Source organism: Homo sapiens, chromosome 16 (assembly GCF_000001405.40).
Source record: "Homo sapiens chromosome 16, GRCh38.p14 Primary Assembly".
Classification (NCBI taxonomy): domain Eukaryota; kingdom Metazoa; phylum Chordata; class Mammalia; order Primates; family Hominidae; genus Homo; species Homo sapiens.
The window spans coordinates 82,649,658-82,667,817 of record NC_000016.10 but is presented as its reverse complement, the minus strand read 5'-3'; the positions used below and the strand labels follow the sequence as shown (position 1 = coordinate 82,667,817).

At 43.2% G+C, this 18,160-nt stretch overlaps 1 protein-coding gene across 8 annotated transcripts in view, besides 7 other annotated features; it reads right to left on the bottom strand.

The window, feature by feature from the left end:
* CDH13 (cadherin 13) overlaps positions 1–18,160 on the bottom strand; it is a 1,173,672-nt gene that overhangs the window by 1,132,823 nt on the left and 22,689 nt on the right. The window lies entirely within an intron of this gene.
* Positions 12,100–12,394: a silencer, noted in NCBI's record as "tiled region #6595; K562 Repressive non-DNase unmatched - State 24:Quies". NCBI's record gives its function as "represses a minimal TATA promoter and a strong SV40 promoter by Sharpr-MPRA in K562 cells {active_cell/tissue: K562}" and the evidence as "EXISTENCE:reporter gene assay evidence [ECO:0000049][PMID:27701403]".
* Positions 12,116–12,165: a silencer, noted in NCBI's record as "silent region_7766". NCBI's record gives its function as "represses an Ori minimal core promoter by ATAC-STARR-seq in GM12878 lymphoblastoid cells {active_cell/tissue: GM12878}" and the evidence as "EXISTENCE:reporter gene assay evidence [ECO:0000049][PMID:35858748]".
* Positions 13,139–14,338: an enhancer, noted in NCBI's record as "P300/CBP strongly-dependent group 1 enhancer chr16:82687085-82688284 (GRCh37/hg19 assembly coordinates)". NCBI's record gives its function as "activates an origin of replication core promoter dependent on BRD2, BRD4, P300/CBP, MED14 and CDK7 cofactors, with strong dependence on P300/CBP, by STARR-seq in HCT116 cells {active_cell/tissue: HCT116}" and the evidence as "EXISTENCE:reporter gene assay evidence [ECO:0000049][PMID:35650434]".
* Positions 13,298–13,347: an enhancer, noted in NCBI's record as "active region_11229". NCBI's record gives its function as "activates an Ori minimal core promoter by ATAC-STARR-seq in GM12878 lymphoblastoid cells {active_cell/tissue: GM12878}" and the evidence as "EXISTENCE:reporter gene assay evidence [ECO:0000049][PMID:35858748]".
* Positions 13,588–13,637: an enhancer, noted in NCBI's record as "active region_11228". NCBI's record gives its function as "activates an Ori minimal core promoter by ATAC-STARR-seq in GM12878 lymphoblastoid cells {active_cell/tissue: GM12878}" and the evidence as "EXISTENCE:reporter gene assay evidence [ECO:0000049][PMID:35858748]".
* Positions 13,688–13,897: an enhancer, noted in NCBI's record as "active region_11227". NCBI's record gives its function as "activates an Ori minimal core promoter by ATAC-STARR-seq in GM12878 lymphoblastoid cells {active_cell/tissue: GM12878}" and the evidence as "EXISTENCE:reporter gene assay evidence [ECO:0000049][PMID:35858748]".
* Positions 13,719–14,218: an enhancer, noted in NCBI's record as "H3K27ac hESC enhancer chr16:82687205-82687704 (GRCh37/hg19 assembly coordinates)". NCBI's record gives its function as "activates a minimal SCP1, AML or CMV promoter by ChIP-STARR-seq in naive and primed H9 embryonic stem cells {active_cell/tissue: H9 hESC(naive and primed)}" and the evidence as "EXISTENCE:reporter gene assay evidence [ECO:0000049][PMID:30033119]".

The following is an 18,160-nucleotide window of genomic DNA, read 5'->3' as shown; positions in this document are numbered from 1 at the left end:
AGCAAGACAGAGGTACAGAAAAGCTCAGGACATAGAAAGCAAGCGTGAGCTGTGGCGGCTCAGAAGGGGAGAGGCGGGGGGCGGCTCCATAGTGACTGCGCTTTCAAGACTGCACCAAACATCATGGGTGCACTGCTTCGCCTTCCTCACTCACGTCACATCTCAGCTCTGCCTGGGCTCTGTCCAACTTCAGATAGGGGCAACGTGACATCAGACAACTCCTCTCTGAACTGAGAGCCTCTCCGCCCTTGCCAAGGGCTTCCTTCTTAACTCGGTAGAGGAGCCCCATCATACATGCACAATCCTACGGTGCAAGGAAAGGAACGCCCCTTGAGCCAACATATGGCCAATAGCAGATGGGAATGAGTGGAGGAATTATTTCATCTCCCCACACCACATCCTGGTGAGGCAGGCTTCTCAGGGACAAAGCTCTACAAACCTCTCAATCAGTTGCACTTGGGGATGGCCAGCTCAGTACGCGCCTTCGCAAGCCTCCCCTCCTTACCTGCCTCAATCCCCTCTTCCTTCACTCTCACTCTCTGGAATTGTCTCCCTAATACGATAGAAATGTATAAGCTCTCTGCTTTATGGGATACCCAGCTAAGTCAGTGACTCAAGGCCAACCTCTTAAATTTCAATACCCTACTGCTGCATTCCTGCTCCAGCTGCTAGGAGGTGAGGCGATGTGAATAAGCTGGCATCAGATAACTTCTGAAGACACAAGTCAAAGTATTCCCCCTCTAGAAGGAACAGCTGATTCCTTTGTCAGTTTGGAGAGAAACATCAGAAGGCTCCGAGTTGGCTTGCAAGCAGTAGGGCAAAGCGTGTTTAAGAACAGGAACTGGACCCATTCCTGAACTCATCTCAGGGGCAGAAACTACACACTGCATTTTACATCATTTCTCTGTTGTAATTGTCACCCATCTTGACAAGGTGGTTCTGATTCTTCAAGATGTGGCATAGCATCGTTTGGATGGTGGGAAGGCAGGCTGGCTCTGGGATTAAATGTTCTACTTTTAAATTCTGGATTCACCAGCTTCCATCTGTGTGACCTTGAGCACACCATTTAACATTTCTAAAAATGGGTGTATCAACAGGACTACCTTTACATTGTGATATGCACCACAAATAAGAAAGATGTTCTTCGTGCCTCAGTTACCATGGTTGTTGTATGGTTAACCTACGACTAGGTTATAGTAAATGGCCAAAAAAATAGTAGTAGTTGTTGTTATGTCAGACATCCCAGATTCCAATGCAAGTGAGTCTGGCTTCAAAGTGTGTGCTTTCCCCTTATAGCCCACTGCCTATTCCACACAAAGTGAGAGGTTAGCTCAAGGTACCCACCAAGTATTCAAGTATGGGTCTCCATGTGGAAGGAACAAGCACAGTGTATGGTCATCCATTGATTGGAGAGGGAGGGCTGATGGTGGCCTCATTGTCCATGATTCAGGTACCTTGCCTTTGAAAGTAGGATCAACTGCCTTACCAAAGCAGTGCTGTTACTTAAAATACACAAGATACTGCCTGTGGCATAATTGGTACAACAAACACTAAGCCTTCCATTCCCCTGTGTTTCTGGTTGATTGCAGGAGCTTGGAAAGATGAATAAACACCTAAGGATAAACACATCCCAACTTCCCTGAACAGGTTCCCCAGCAGCTATATTTTTTGGCAAAAAAACAGACGTGAGATCGTTATAGGCAGAGAGGGATGCCATTAACTTAAGAATCACAGTCCACACCCTCTCATAAAGGTTCTGGGAGGATTTTACACGATTTATACACAGATATTCCCTGACTTAGAATGACTAGACAACAGTTTTTCAACTTTACAATGGTACAAAAGAAATACTTACTCCATTGAAACCATTTTTCAGATTTTGAATTTTGATCTTTTCCTGGTCCAGAAATATGTGGTACAATACTCTTATATGAGACAGTCAACACTTCATTATAAAATGGGCTTTGTATTCAATGATTTTGCCCTCCTGTAGGCTAACGCAAGTGCTCTAAGCACATATAAAGTAGGTTAGGCTAAACTATTGCTGTTCAGTAGGTCCAATTTACAGGGTGTCAGTTCAGAGAGGAGCTGGCTACTGTCACATTGTCCCTGTCTGGAGTTGGGCAGAGTCCAAGCAGAGTTGAGGCATGACATAGTTGAGGAAGGTGAAGCAGAGTACCTGTGATGTTTGAGGTAGGCATGCAGCCGCCTTTTTGATGTAGGATGGTTTATCAGGATAAAATCTCATCATAAATCAAGGAGTGTCTGCATACAATTGATTCTCTTATTTATGGTACTTATGTTCTATGAAGTCACCATGAATACTTAACATATATTGAACCATTGCTCCTAGTAGAAATGCAGGGTTAGGTTCCTGTGAGCCTCTGGTCACAGTTCAGTCAACTAGTCAATATATAACCTTGTTTTACGTGCGCCTCGGTTTAAAGATGCCTTACTTAAAATTTATCACAGCCAGCAGCACTGTAACTCATGCTGGAACAAAGCTTATCTAACACATGCATTTTCTCAGTCAGACACATCACAGCCTTCTTGCACTTAGAGACACTAGAGAGCACTCTGCAGTCCACTTGGGGCCATTTTGACAGCAAAATTGCCAAGAAATAGCATAAAATTGTGGCAAATGTGGCATTAAATGGTTCATGAAAAGGATATTTGTTTGTAGTATGAAAGCTAAAACAAGAAGGCAGTCTCACCTAGTTTGAATGCACCTGGAAGCATATACATCATATGATTCAAATTTGTCACAGCTCTGTATATGTCTGCAAGTGACCACAACACTACCATGACCACTGATTTGGGAGCTACAGATACATTTTACTGAGTAGGCAAATTCACAAAGACAGAATTCATGAATAATGAGAATCAATTACACACACACATATATATGCATATATACATGTATTCATACATACCCACAAATATGTAAGAATATATATGTACAAAATGCTTTTAACCAATATCTGTATCAAATATATTCAAAAATACAAGTTACGTTGATGTTGTTGTTACTGTTTCATATCAAAAACTGCCACTGGGTAGAAGAAAACCCTCAGTTTTACATACCAAACCAGTAAAGTGAAATTGTTAGTTAATAAGCAAGTATTAACAAGATTTTCTTCTCTTTGAAAATAAAACAGAAAACAAATCACATCTAGAGAATAAGGCTGTTTTAAGGAAACACACAGGAAAAACTTGGGTCCTTTCTCCCAGTCATCAAATGTAAAGGCTCCCAGCCTTCTCCCTCAGAAAGTCATGCTTCAAAGGCACACTGGTGTCTTATTTTACCCACCTACTGCATTGACAGGACTCTGACTGTGCTGGGCTCACTGGCTGGCAGCTTTTCCAAGCAACTGAGCCCCCACTGCTGTGTTCAGAGCTGTAGCCAAGCTGCACCCAACCCTCGCTCTCTCAGGCACCAGGCACTGCCATGAATTTACTAATCAGCTAGTGCAAATCACTGTCAGGAGCCTGGAGAGACAAGAGTGAAGCAGGATGCTTTTGTCTTCCAACAACCCTCCTACTCCATCCATCTGAGGAGGAGAGACACAGCCATGTGAAGAACAGGCAATGGCACGTTGCTTTGCAGCACAATTTAGTGAAAAGTAAGATTAATTTCAACAAAAGCTAACATTTATTTAGCGCTTACTATGTGCTGAGCACTGCCTCAACCCTTCACTGTCCTTGTCTCACTGACTTCGAAAAACCACCCTATGAGGTAGGGACGAGTAAGTAATATTTCCGCAGAATAAGACTGAATTTCAAAGTCACTGCCTCGTGGTCCACAGCTACAAAGGCAGAAGTGGAGCCAAAAGAGTCCTGAGAGCCCACATGGCTCACACCTCAGAGTGGAATGCCTGTCATGCTGCAGAATGCGCCATGGTAGGAGGAGGGAGGGTAGAGAAGACTTTCTGAAGAGCAAGAAGAAAGCCCACGCTATATTCACATAGTATGTAAGCTAGCAGAGAGGTAAATCTCCTAGAAGAGGATCACAAAGGGGACCAGAGATCACCCCCAACCCCACCTTGGTTCTTATGTGGGCTCTTTGGCTGGACCTAGAAACCAAATGGACACGAATCAGACAACCAGATCAACAGGAAAAAAGCATACGGATCTTAATAGTTTTCCAGGTACAAGGGATCTTCACAAGAGAGTGATGTCTGAAGAAGCGGCCAAAGCAAGATGCTTTTGAACTTTTTAGACAAAGAATGATAAATCTGACAAAGACAGGACAAATGGGATCTGGCTAGGGTCAGTGAATTTCTAGGGGAGTCACTAGGAGACATACAGGGGACTGTGTAAAATGAGTGGCGGTGGCTGGGCATGGTGGCTCATGCCTGTAATCCCAGCATTTTGGGAGGCCGAGGCGTGTGGATTATCTGAGGTCGGGAGTTCAAGACCAGCCTGAACAACATGGAGAAACCCATCTATACTAAAAATACAAAATTAGCCGGGCCTGGTGCTGCATGCCTGTAATCCCAGCTACTCCAGAGGCTGAGGCAAGAGAATCGCTTGAACCTAGGAGGCAGAGGTTGCGGTGAGCCGAGATCGCGCCATTGCACTCCAGCCAGGGCAACAACAGCGAAACTCCCTCTCAAAACAAACAAACAAACAAACAAAAAACCTAGTGGAGGCTAAGGGCCACTTCAGTAAGGGTATTTATTCAAGCCCACTGCAGCCTGCAATCCGCAGTCTCTGGCGATAAGGGCTATTTTCTTGCCCTGGCAGGGGGAGGATGCCCCTCCCAGAGAGGAATCTTTCTGGCCTGCTACATGTAGGAAGAGACAAGTCAGCTAGCCCTTTCTGAAACTGCAATTTATCCAATGTTTTTAACTCGAAATCATCAATGTACCGATTTGTCATATGGGAGAAGGCATGTCCTTTGCTGTTTCAGTGGGTAAGGGTACCAGACACACAGGCATGCCCACGCAAGCACACACCTCTACCACCTCACACTGGCCTGGAGGACATCTTCTCATTGATCTTCTAAATGGCAGAGAAGCCCTCCCAGAGGGACACATACTGGTGGTTGTTTAAGCCTCTCAGGCGCTATTTGACATTTAAGCCCAGTGATCTGCCCCCTTCTATAGCAGAAGCTGTTATCGACTCAAAGATTAGTAGTGAGAGGTCCTATGAATAATTATAAAGCGCATTTGTTGTCCTACAACAACATTCAGGACATTCAGGAAAAGCAGGGTATGCCTGGGCAAGACCTGATAGTGGTGGGGATGGATTTACTCCAAACCAGCTCCCTTCTTCTCCCAACAAGCCATCTGGTCAATCTCACTCAGGTAGCACCATTAACCAGTCTCTAAAGAGGCAAAGAGAAAACCCTCTGTTCATGTTTCTCAATCATTTTCATCAGTTTTCATCACATAAATCTCTTTTTAATTACAACAGTAACACATGCTCATTGAAATATGTTCAGACAATACACATGTGAAGAAAATAAAAAGTAAACATCTACCCCCGCCTCCTCAAGGTAACTAATGCCGACAATTTGGTGTGCATCCTTTCTGTGTTTTTTGCACTCTTATCCAAAAAGTATGTGCCTGTGTGTTGCATCTGTTTTTTAAGTGAAATTAATATCATAAAGTTTTGTAACTTGTTTACCTGGCAATACACAAGGGTGACCTTTCTATGCCAGAATATCTGCATTTACTTCATTGAGAATATGGAGAATACTCCATTCTATGGACATACTACCATTTATTTGACTCAGTGGTGTCCAGCAAATCCCTCTGTGATGGCGGGGATGTCCTACATCTGCACATGAGAACCACTAGCCGCCTGTGACAAAGGAGCCCTTAAAATTCCTCTCCTGTGATCAAGACACTGAATTTTCAATTTTCTTTAATTTGATTAAATGAAATGTAAACAGTCACATGTAACTAGTGGCTACTATATTAGACAGTGCAGATTTAACAAGTCCCCTAATTACAGGACATACCTTAGTTGTTCCTAAATTGTGTCCATTACATAGTCTGATGTGACACACATCTGTGTGTGTACTAGCTCTTTATTCCCTAATTGAGGTTTCCCCCAATACTCCGTGTTCTCTGCTAAGTCTGGTTCCTACAATGTACATTCATTTCTGATGGAATAAAAGACAGACGAGTTCATACATTTGTAAGCTAGCCTTAAGGCATGGAACCTCCATATGCATCCAGCATCCATCCTTTTGGAGTTGCACAGGCTCCCTGAAATAAACCAAGAGGCACGGATCTTCTAGAAGGTGTTGATGCTGATAGCCAGGCTTTCACCAAGGGAACACCTGCGCTAATTCCCTGCTTGGGAAGAAGGTCTGCTGGCTGCCTGGCATGAGAACCAGCCGGCAGCAACCTCTTTACTCAGCACTCACAATAACATCTCATTAATATCGTGCGTACTAAAGCAGGACAAACAATATTTAAGTCTATTTCTTAATGTCTGTCAATTACCCGTTCCTATCTGTTCCACCCCATCCCTAGGAAAAGCATAAATAGGGTTTGGCTGTACTTCACATAATTAAGCTGTGATCAGAGCTAATCTGTTTCAATGGACAGAGCGTGTGTCCTCAGGACTATCTCATTACAACATGGTGAGGGGAGAGCTTGAAGCCAACCTCACTAGGTCAGCGTAAACAATGAGCCGTTTGCTCCATCAGGATGAAAAGAGGCAAAGGAAACGGACAGCTGTATCCCTCCAGCATGAAACATCACACCGGCCCCTGGGCCACCATCACTCTCTCAAGAGCCCCTTTCCTTCACGGAGACCTGACCCACTTTGAAGTGGCCACTGCCATGTCCCCAGGAGGGGAGAAGGTGGTGGGTGTTTGGTTTGTTTTTATGACTTCTTCAATGAACTTAATAGTTTTTTTTTTTTGATAAAAGAAACTTAATGAATGTTAAATTATAATCAGTTATATACTTCAAAAGGCTCTTTACATCTTTGTTAACATCCACATATATTTTACTTGTATTGCCGGAACAAAATTGAAGCAGCAGCAGCAGACGTCTAAATAAAACGAGGGGGGAAAGAAAACCACCCGCCATGCTGAAAGCCCTACAAATCAAGCTGTTTTCATTTTTCTTTGCTCCCTTTCTGTCTTTGTTCATGTATATACATAATTTATGTCTGAAGCTGCTCTAGGGTCTTTGGTCCCAGGTATACAGTGAAAGGGCTTAAATATAACTCAACCTTCTGGAAGCTTCCCTCCTGGGCCCTAGGTTGTCATCTTTCTTTCACTTCATCTCTGGCCTCGGGCTGTTTCTGTTTTGCCAGGTCTTGCTCTGAATTTAATCCCTGTGCCTCTGTTAGATGGTTTGTGGATTGACTGACGTTCACCAACTGGTGCTCCCTCTTGGGTTTCCCCGCACGCCCCGGCAGGCACAGGAACGCCCATAGTGGGTGGTTTCAGCAGATGGCTGTTTTGATTGGTGGTTTCTCTGTCATATTTACATATGACATATTTTAAATACCACCCTTGACTTAACTCACTTTTAAGACCCAATTTCCATGCTCCCCACGTGTGATCATTTTACTTGCATCTGCCTGACCCATATTTATCTCCAGGTTCCTAATCTTACACAAACCAAGATACTCAATTTGTTGAGATTCCCTGGTTCCCGTGATTTCTGGGTCACATTTTCCCTCCCTCTCTTTTCTCAGCAGCTTCCTCTGAAACCCAAAACCTCAGCCAAACCACAGAATAAATGCAGTATTACTTTCTGCTTTTTAAAATTTATGTCATTTTCCCAGTGCTGCTGTTTTAAGCCTCCAAATTAGCTCATTTCCATTTTCCAGTGAGCAGATATGCCTCAACTTCTTAAGTATTCCCCTAAAGCAGTGGTTCTCAATGGGGAGTCACTTTCCCCCCTTTCCCTCCAGGAGACACTTGACAATGTCTGGAGACATTTTTGGATTTCACAGTGAGGATGGGGCTTCCAATGGCCTCTAGTGGGTAGAGGCCAGGGATGCTTCTGGACATCCTGCCATGCACAGGATAGCCTCACCACAATCTTCCTGCCCAAAGTGGCCACCATGCCATGGTGGAGAAACCCTTCCCTACTATTTAACGTTCAGAATTTCCCAGGTGTTTGTCATGACGTTTTCATGAGTCTCCTAGTCCATGTTACCCCCATTGTATTCCAGTGCCTCGCACAGTACCTGGCCTGTGGGTGGGTTCTTGTGGACGTGGTATTATATTTTGGGGGGATTCTTTATGAGAAATTCCCAATAGGGGAGTTATGTTCATGCATATGGATTATACATGTTTGAGTATATATTCTTTTCTGTTATTTATGGTTTTACGTTATTTTTTGTTCCAATTTCCATTTGAGAATGGACTGCTTGCTGCCATTTTTAAGGAATGTGCCAAGTACATGCAGACAGTGCCTAGACTCAACCAGAGTCCCGTGCTTCCGTAGCCTTGCTCCTGCTATTCCCCTCTCAATGGCAAGGCCGTCTTTCCAGGATTATGACCTATACCTATTCATGTGTGCTTATGAGTTACGTGTTTCTACCTTTGAGGTAATTTCCACAATGCTGCTGGCAAGCATTCTAAACCCAGTGTTGAATGAAGGGAGAGAGGAATAGTGGGACTAGGTTCCAATAGAGAAGTTCTGCCATCCGGATTCTAACTCAGGTGCTAAATCTTTAAAGGAGTCAAATCAACTATTGGGAACCAGCAGCAACTGTGCACTGTTTTCTTCTGGCATTACTTTCTGTATAATGGGAAGCATATTACCTGCCCCACATCCCTGGTGGCCTCCCTGCTCACAGCTTTTGTGAGCTAAGCCTGGGATGATGGCCAGGAGGGGATTAGAGTCAGCACAAGACATAGAGTCAGCTTTAGGAACTATGCTCACAATAGTCTGAGAAAATCCACCCCCTTGAGAACCTTCTTTAGGGCTATTTTATCTGAATATCAAGTGTCTAGTCAAAGTTACAGAATCTTCCATACATACCCACAAACAGGGAAAAATGTATGTTTTCTTCTATGGGCTTTTAAAATCTATCGACTTTGTACCAGGCACTGAGAATACAGAGAGAAACAAGACACTGGGCACACATTCAAATGAAGAGAGGTCACGGCAAACCATCATGGCAGCCACCATGTGCTGAGTGGGGTGCTAAGTTCTTTAGGTATAATTTAACCCACGCAACCACCCTTGGAGATCAGTACTATTTGACATAATTTTACAGATGTGAAAACTGAGGCACAGAGAGATTAAATATCTTGCCCAAGTTCATACAGCTAATAAGCAACGGAGGTGCAATTTATACCCAGGCAGCCTGACTCCAGTCTTAACCACTGAGCTACTTTCTCTCTTGAGACAGGTATGAAGAAAAGTAAGTATATTAAAATGTAACCATGATGGGATTTATCACAGGTATGCAAGGCTTGTTGAACATTTAAGAATCAATTGATGTTATCCAGCACATAAATGGGACAGCTAAATCTTTAAAGGAGTCAAATCAACTATTGGGAACCAGCAGTAACTGTGCACTGTTTTCTTCTGGCATTACTTTCTGTAAAATGGGAAGCATAATACCTGCCCCACATTCCTGGTGGCCTCCCTGCTCACAACTTTTGTGAGCTAAGCCTGGGATGATGACCAGGAGGCTCATATGCACATATCAATAGATATCACATGCACATATCAATAGATGCAGAAAAAGCACTTGGCAAAATCAATACTCATAATAACTCTCAACAAACTAGTAACAGACAGAAACTTCTTCAACTTAATAAAGAACAACTACAAAAAGCCTACAACTAACATCACACTTCATGGTAGGAAACTAGCTTTCCTGATAAGATCAGTAGCAAGGCAAGGATGTGCCCTCTTACCATTGTTTTTCAACATCGTCCTGGAAGTCCTAGCTAATGCAGTAAGATAAGAAAAGAAAACAAAGGTATAGTGATTGGAAAGTAAGAAACAAAACTTAGTTTGCAGATAAAATGATTATCTATGTAAGAAATCCAAAAAAATTGACAAACTCCAAGAATAAGTAATTATGCCAAGATTACAAGATACGAGGTTAATGTAAAAAAGCCAATCACTTTCCTATGTACCAGCAATGAATGAATGAAATCAGGAATTTAAAACACAATACAATTTACATTACCCTCCCCAAATTGGAATATTTACATATAAATCTAGCAAACTGTGTACATGAAATGTACAAAATACAGTAGTCTCTCTTTCTCCAAGGTTTGCTTTCTACAGTTTTACTCAACTGTGGTCAATCACAGTCTGAAAATATTAAATAGAAAAATTCCAAAAATAATTCATAAGTTTTAAATTACATGCTGTTCTGAGTTGCATGATGAAATCTTCTGTCATCCCACTCCATCCTGCCGGGAATGTGAATTATCATTTTCTTCAGTGTATCCATCCTGTCTATCTTACCCATCATCCATTAGTCACTCAGTAACCATCTTGGTTATCAGACTGACAGATTAAAAGAGAAGGGTGAGTGCGCTACAACAGATTTTGAGAGAGACAGCCCACATGCATGTAACTTTTATTACAACATATTGTCATAATTGTTCCATTTTATGGAGCAATTGTTGTTCATCTCTTACTGTGCCTCATTTATAAATTAAACTTTATCACAGGTATGTACAGGAAAAAAACATAATGTATGTAGGGCTTGGTACAATCCATAGTTTCAGGCATCCATTGGGTGTCTGGGAACTTATTCCCCATGAAAACTGGGGAACTACTGTATATATACAAGATCTATATGAGGAAACACAAATGTTTATAGCAGCTTTATTTGTAATCACCAAAACTTAGAAGCAACCAAGATATCCTTAAGTAGGTCAATGGATAAACTGTGATACATCCAGACAATGAAATATTATTCAATGCTAAAAAAAAAAAAAAAAAAGAGCTACCAAACCATAAGAAAACATGGAGGAAACTTCAATGCATGTTACCAAGTGAAGGAAGCTAATTTGAAAAGGCTACATACTATATTATTCCAACCATATGACATTCTGGGAAAGGCAAAGCTATGGAAATAGAAGAAAGATCGGTGGATTGCCAGGGGTTAGGGAGAAGGGAGTGGGTAGGCAAATAGGCAGAGCAAGTATTTTAGGGCTGTACAACTATTCTGTGTGATATCATAATGGTGGATACATGAATTTACACATTTGTCATGTATCCACCATACACCGTACAGCACCAAGAGTGAACCCTCATGTAAACTGTGAACTTTGAGTGATAATGATGTGTCAATGTAGAGTCATTGACTGTAACAAATGTACCATTCTGATGTGGGATGTTGATAGTGGGACAAGGCTGTGCATTTGTGGGGATAGGAGGTACTTGGGAAACTTCTGTACCTTCCACCAAATTTTGCTGTGAACTTAAACCTGCTCTAAAAAATAAGGTTTACTTGCTTTTTAAAAAATGCTACCAGGTGCCAACCTGTCTTCCTCTCTAGCCCCTCATCTCATCACCATCATTAACACACACACACACACACACACACGCACACCATTCAAATGCAACCAGGTGCACTCCAGCCTCTTTCTCCAGCCACACTGAGCCAGCTGCCATTCTCCTTCTACCCTGTGCCTTTGAACCACTGATTCTCTGCTTGAAGCCCCCACTCCCACACTGCCAGCTTTTGTTTGACTATCTTCAACATGATTTTCAGTCTCAGCTCATATGTCATCTTTTCACTGATAACTCTGTCCAAGGCAGATGCTCTTTCTCTGTACTTCCAAATCGAAATCAGAGTTCCTTTTGCTAGACCAGCATTTTCTGCCTTGCACGGTAACTCTCAGCTGAAGTTTCTGTCTCTCACACTGTCCTGAGACATGCCACTGGTTCAAGGGGCTGTCTAGGTGGTGCCAAACCTCATACAGATCCTGGCACATAGCAGGTGCCCACTAAAGGCTAGCTGAAATTTCAGGCACTTGAGTAGTGAGCCATGACCCGAAGGCATTGCTTCCTATCTGGGCGACCTTGCCTACTCTAAGCTTCAGTTTCCCCATTGTTAAAATGGGAAAGAATGATAATAAGGGCAATGCCTATTTCATTTGGTGGTTGTGAGGACTGAGTTAATATATATGTAAAATTAACAAATGTAAACAAGAAAAAAATAGCCTGTGGAGGAGGTAAGCTTCTGTAGGCTTCTTCTGAATTGCTTTGGCTTCCTCTGCTGCACATAAAAACAAATGATGTCACTGCCTTGCCCTCCCCCAACCCCACCAGTGGTTTCCCATCACTCTCAGCATCACACGCACACCCTCCCTGCAGCCTAATCTGCCTCCCTGATCTCATCTCCTACTCTTGGACCCGACACTGCGGTAGCCTCACTATTTCCTGCTTTAGGACTTTGCACTTGCTTTTTGCTCTTCCTGGCATACACTTTCCTTTTGAGATCCACATGGCCATCTCATCTACTTCAGAGAGATCTCAGTTGAAATGTCTCCTCTCCAGGACACCTCCCCTCACCCCCAACCCCTATCACAAGGAGCACCTTCGTCACACTTTACCCTTTTATGGTGCTTGATTGACCGGCTCATTGATTGCAACACTGATTACTAATGAATTTTCTTTACTGTTTGCCTCTGCCAATAAAGCAATAGCTCCATGAAGATAGGAACCTGGTTGTGCCCATTGCTATTTTCCTGGTGCTTGCGGGCATTCAGTAAATGTGTTGGGAAAATGAATGAATGTATGAACAGATGAATCCCCTGATACAATGGGAAAGGCAGGGAAATTATCTTGAGTTTCTTTTGGACTCCATCCTCCAGTTCTGGAAGCTTACCTGTACCCCAGAGCCAAGAGAATGACTAAAAGCATGAAATCTGGGACCACCAGCTCCACAGTTTATTTGCTATGGCTGTGGGCCTCAGCTACTTTGCCTGTATAATGGATCTAGTCACTCCATCTACCTCAGTAGTGTTGGGAGGGATGAAAGAACTGATACGAGGAAAGCCTTTAGCACAAGGCCAGGCACATACCTTTGTTAGCTGCTTCACGTGGTTAATACTATAACCTGAGAAGCTGCCCTCATCCTTTCTGTACCCACCTCTTCTGAATATGAAAAAAAAAAAAATCCTTATTTAAATCCATGGTTCCTTTGATGGTACAGCATTTGTATCTTTGCCCACGGCCCCATCCCCTAAGGATGTCTGCCCCCAAATAAAAGTTGTCAAACATTTTAAATGGTATTAAATTGTCCAGAAAATGGGAATGCCCAAAGCAGAGAGTCAGTCAATCAGGATTATTTGAGAGCTTCAAAAAGACAGAAGGAAGCCATTATTAGGTTTAAGAATATTGCATTCCACCTCCCACACAGCCTTTATCTAAATCTTCATTTAATTGGCAGCCTTCAGCACTGTCAGAATTGCATTCTGAGAACCAAGAGAAGTTTTCAAACATTCACACAATGTTATATGCTTGGCTCAAAACAACTCAAGGGGAAAGAACCATCTCTTCTGCAAGAGATTTGGGGATGCCCTAAAGCTGATGCTATGAGAGTTGGGAAACCGACCTTGAATAAGAAACCAAGACCACCATGTAAGTGTCAGCCAAAGACACTGTCCAGAGGTTTCAGGCAGAGAGACTCGGACCTGCTGTCTCCCCAGAATCTCTAGGTGACTCTCTAAGGGCAAGAATTCATCCTTTCTCTATCTCTCAGGACCTCCCCCACTGGCTGGTGCAGTGTAGGCCGGAAATAGATGTTTTTGCAATGACTAATGAGAATTTTTGCGGCTTTATGTCATAAGGGGAATCCTCTCTCAGGCCCATGTGTCTCTGCCTGAGTGATTCCAACCAGAAGCTGGGCTGGAAGAAACCTGATTTCTCCCTGTCCCTCCCTGTAACCCCGTACAGTTAATTAGCAAGTCTTATCTGTTGTGCTATATCTCATGATCTCTGTGGTATCTGTCCCCTTCTCTTCTCTCTCAGGGCCTTGAATGTGGTCTTCAGTCTTCTTCTCCGGAACTACTGCAAAAGGCATCTGTCTCCCATCCTGCGCCCCGGTGCAGGCACAAGCATGCTGATCATTGGAAAACCCAGATTTAAGAGCGTCTGTCACTGCTGCTGAAAAATCCCCCCTAGTTCCTGCGCCTCCAGGGTGAAATCCAAGTTTCTCAACATGACATGCACATCGTGTTTCTTAACCAATCCACCCCCTCCCTGGCTGCTCCCTCCTACCCCTGCAGCCCTGCACCTTGGCCTCCAGCCCCACAAGCAACTCTCAGCTTCCCCCAAGCATGAACTGCCAGCTCCCTCCACTCCATGTCTTTTCTTCTGCTGCTGGCTTTGTGCAGGTACATCCAGTCCCATTTTACTCAGTGCCTAATTTCTGTTGCTCCTTCAGGGCCCAAGTCAAATATATTCCCCAGAAGGCCTTCCTGGGTCCCTCTCTCTGTTCTCCTCCAAAGTTGGGCTGGTCTCTCCTCTGTATTTCCAACACACCTGAGGCTGAGCATACTTTTATTTATTTTTTTGTGTAAAATACACTAAGGCACTACAAAAAGGTGCAAAAGCCCAAGTATTCAGCTCAATGTTTTCCATGAGTTGCCACGTAACTGGCACTAAAATCAAGGAGAAACATTATCAGGTCCTCAGAAACCATCCACCCACCCCCTACCACCACCATGTCTTCTTCACAGACACTTGGAAAAACCGTTCAATAAGTATCTATCAAAGGTAAATTAACAAAATGGGTTTCCAAAGTGGTTGTACTCCCAAGCTCATTCACACTGAATGGACAATGTTGACTGCCTTGTCTGTTTACCCTTCTGAATTACAACATCCTGGGGTCACGGACTACCTTTTGGTCGCCTGTTTACCCCCAACTTCTACAAAGAGCCAGCACATGAATGAACGAATCAATGAATGAATGAGCTAATGAAGGAGTGGGATGAAGAACATACACTGTCAGTTTGAGCAACAGTTTTGATTTTCTTCTGGTCTTTGTTAAATGTGCCTCTCTCATTGGAACCCACAGTTACAGAAAGATTCTGGGATTCCCATCAGAACTCACAAAAGACCATAGGTCCACTAGAGATTGTCAGAGGAAAAATAAAAAGGCTTTAAAGGTCATTGGTTTTAACCAGAAAAAAAAAAAAAAAAACAATTCTAGGTAATGCAGGCCAGTTAAGTTGGTTTGACAGCCAACCTCAGCAGCAGCAGCAGCAGCAGCAGCAGCAGCTTCCAATATCTTTCTAGATTGGTTCATTTTCCAAGATCTGTAATTTTTAAATGAGGAGTAGGATCAAAGGTCAATCTCACTTCCTGGAGCAGAAGCTTAAGTATGGGCTGTAATCATATCACTGAGCAAACTTCAAAAGCTGCTGGTGCAGTGACAGCAACCACCTGTCTATCTTCAAACCAGATGAATGGCTTTTCTGATGCAATCAATCAGGATAGAAGATATATAACGAGAGGTCGTTCCTTATTTAACCAAGCTCTTCTCATCTTGTCATGAACAAAAACCACAGGCACAATCCTGGCCCAGGTGAGAAACAGAACCTTCTGAGAACTGCCAAGGACCAGCTATTTTCCTGTAATCTTTCAGAGCCCAGGGGTTCCACCATGACAGGCTAGGATGACAAACCAATAATGATTTTCTGAAGCACAAGACTCTCCAGGGAAATGGAGATCCAACTCTACAATCTGATGACCTCTTTTCAGAACCTAAATCTTGCCTCGGATGCTAGTGACGTTCACATGTTCCAATAACTTTGCTTTCATAGCTGTGGTAGGCAGAGAAAGGCAGCAACAATAGGTTGGCCGAGCAAGTTGTTTCTTTCAAAATGAGAAGTGAAACTAGTAGGCTTAAAGAAGACGAAAAGCTCCAACTTGTTCTGATTGGATGGCGCTGGCCCTTCCTGAATTCTCAGTCATGTCTTATCTTCCCTCCTGCTTTTCCCTGGACTGACCTAGCAGCCTATCCAACTGTTAATGTCAATAGCCCGTCCTAAATCCCAAGGTCCAAGACCACAATCACCTTCTTGCTGTCCCACTGGAAAAATCACTTGTCATTGTTTCTCCTATTGAAGGCACTGCTGTAAGAAATGCTTATAGCAGGGAAAACCTGGAGGGTAGAATGGGAAGGTATAAGCCCCAGCTGTACTTCCTACAACTGCCTGAGTGGCTTTGTTCCAATGGCGTACCTACCCTCTCTAAGCCTCAGTCTCCTCACTGTAAAGTGGAAAAACACCACCTCCCTAATAGGGTTATTACAAGTGTTGAGACAATGCACAGTAAATGCTTTTCTCAGGACCTGGCCAGAGGAATTTAAGAAGATACGCCACCCATATACTCTCCCAATAAAATCAAAGTAATATGGAGTCAGAAGACCTGGATTCAAACCGTGGTTCTGCCAATTGTTTGCTGAAGAAGACAAGTCCCTGAGATTCACTTTTCTTAACTGCAAAATGTCTTTCCCAGGCTTCTGATGGTTGGGTGAAGATCAATGAAGATGGTATATGTGTGTGTGCCCTATAGGCTGTAGACTCCTCAGCTATAAAATGAAGTTAATCATATTCAGAAGCTTTAATTAGACATCACATGTGAAAGTACTTAGCTGGGTGCCTGATATGTAGACAGTGCTCAATAAAAGTTATTTCTTATTTGTTAAAATGTCATTAAATTAATAATTATTGGAGCACAGATAATGATGGTTGTTCATAGTCTTGCCACCCACTAAAATTAGATAAATTTCTATCCCAGGAGGGACAACTTCAAACTGATAGTCTTTCTCAGGGTTCTCCTCCCAGAAAAGGAAGCAGTCTAAAGAGGGTACCGTTTTCTCCCCCAAAAACCACATGACAGGTAAAGATTAGCTGCCAGATAAGATTAACACAGAAAGAGAAAACCCATTCTAGCCCAGCAAATTTCAAACCCCAACTTCACCTGTCTCTCCTGTTTATTGTTTTAACTTTCCAATTTAAACTGTTTACTGCCCTGCCCCACTGGGCTTACAACCAAACTTAGAGGATACCTATGCTGCCAGGTTCACCGGATTGATTTCTACACTATGCAAAATCAATCCTGGATGTGCAACTTCTCCAGTGGCTCAGCCTCAGAGAGAATGCTTCTTTGGCAGGTTTCATGATCACCAAGGGCAGGAGGGAGCAGGCTGAGCACAGATACAGTTTTCTGGAAACCAAGGCTAGAGAGGTAGGGGGATGTGGGAGGAGAGCCAACCAAAGAAAGGTATTAACTGAATCTCCTCATCCCAACAGCGGGACATTTTGGGGCCCAGCAAACCCTGAGCCCAAATAGAATAGGGTAGGGGTTGCACTCAGAAAGCCTAAGTGGTTGGGTTAATGAGGCTTTTAGGACTTCTCATGCCAAGTCTGTGGTGTGCAGGCTTCTCCAAGCATCAATGATATGAGCATAAGACTTTCTGGAATAGAGAAAGGGCACTGAGTTGATGGAGCTTTCTGGGATCTGATGGATCTCATCTGCCTTCTCCAGGTCCTCCAAGTCCTCACTACCTTGCTCCTCAGCCACTCTCCAGTGCTTCCTAAACTCCTTCTAACTCTGCTTTATTGAACAGCCTCTGTTTATTAACTCTTTTTTCAAAAAGGAGAAAAAAATGCAACCTCACGTACCTCATTTATTACAATTGCTGAAGGTTAGTTTCCACTAACAAAGCCATGCATCCTATTTTACACAAAATCTATTTCTCCCTGGAAGACAGGAGAGGTAACTACTTGCAGGTAGAGCAATGTTGAGGCTCCAAGTGTACTTTCTCAGAGAACATTCTTTAAGTGACTGAGCCTCAGTTTCTTAATCTATAGCTTTGGGTTGTTGCCCAGGAAATGGTCCTTGTTGTGATGACTAAGGCAACAGGATCCCTACACAGTTTCAACTTACAGCACACCGGGCACTGTCTTAAGCATGTTACATGCTTCAATTCCTCCTCTCAGGAACCCCAGGATATAGAGCTTATTACTCTTTTCCCATTCAACAGATGAGGGGTCGGAAGCAGAGACAGTTATGGGGTTTGCTCAAGGTTACAGGGCAGCGGAGTTGAGACTCAAACCCAGGCAGTCTGGTGTCCTTGTTCTTAACCAGTAATTTCTTTCCTTTCCATTTTTCCATGTCTTCTTACCCTCCTCTCCCTTCCCCATCATTTTTCTCTCTTACATCCCCTCTCCTTCCTATTGTTG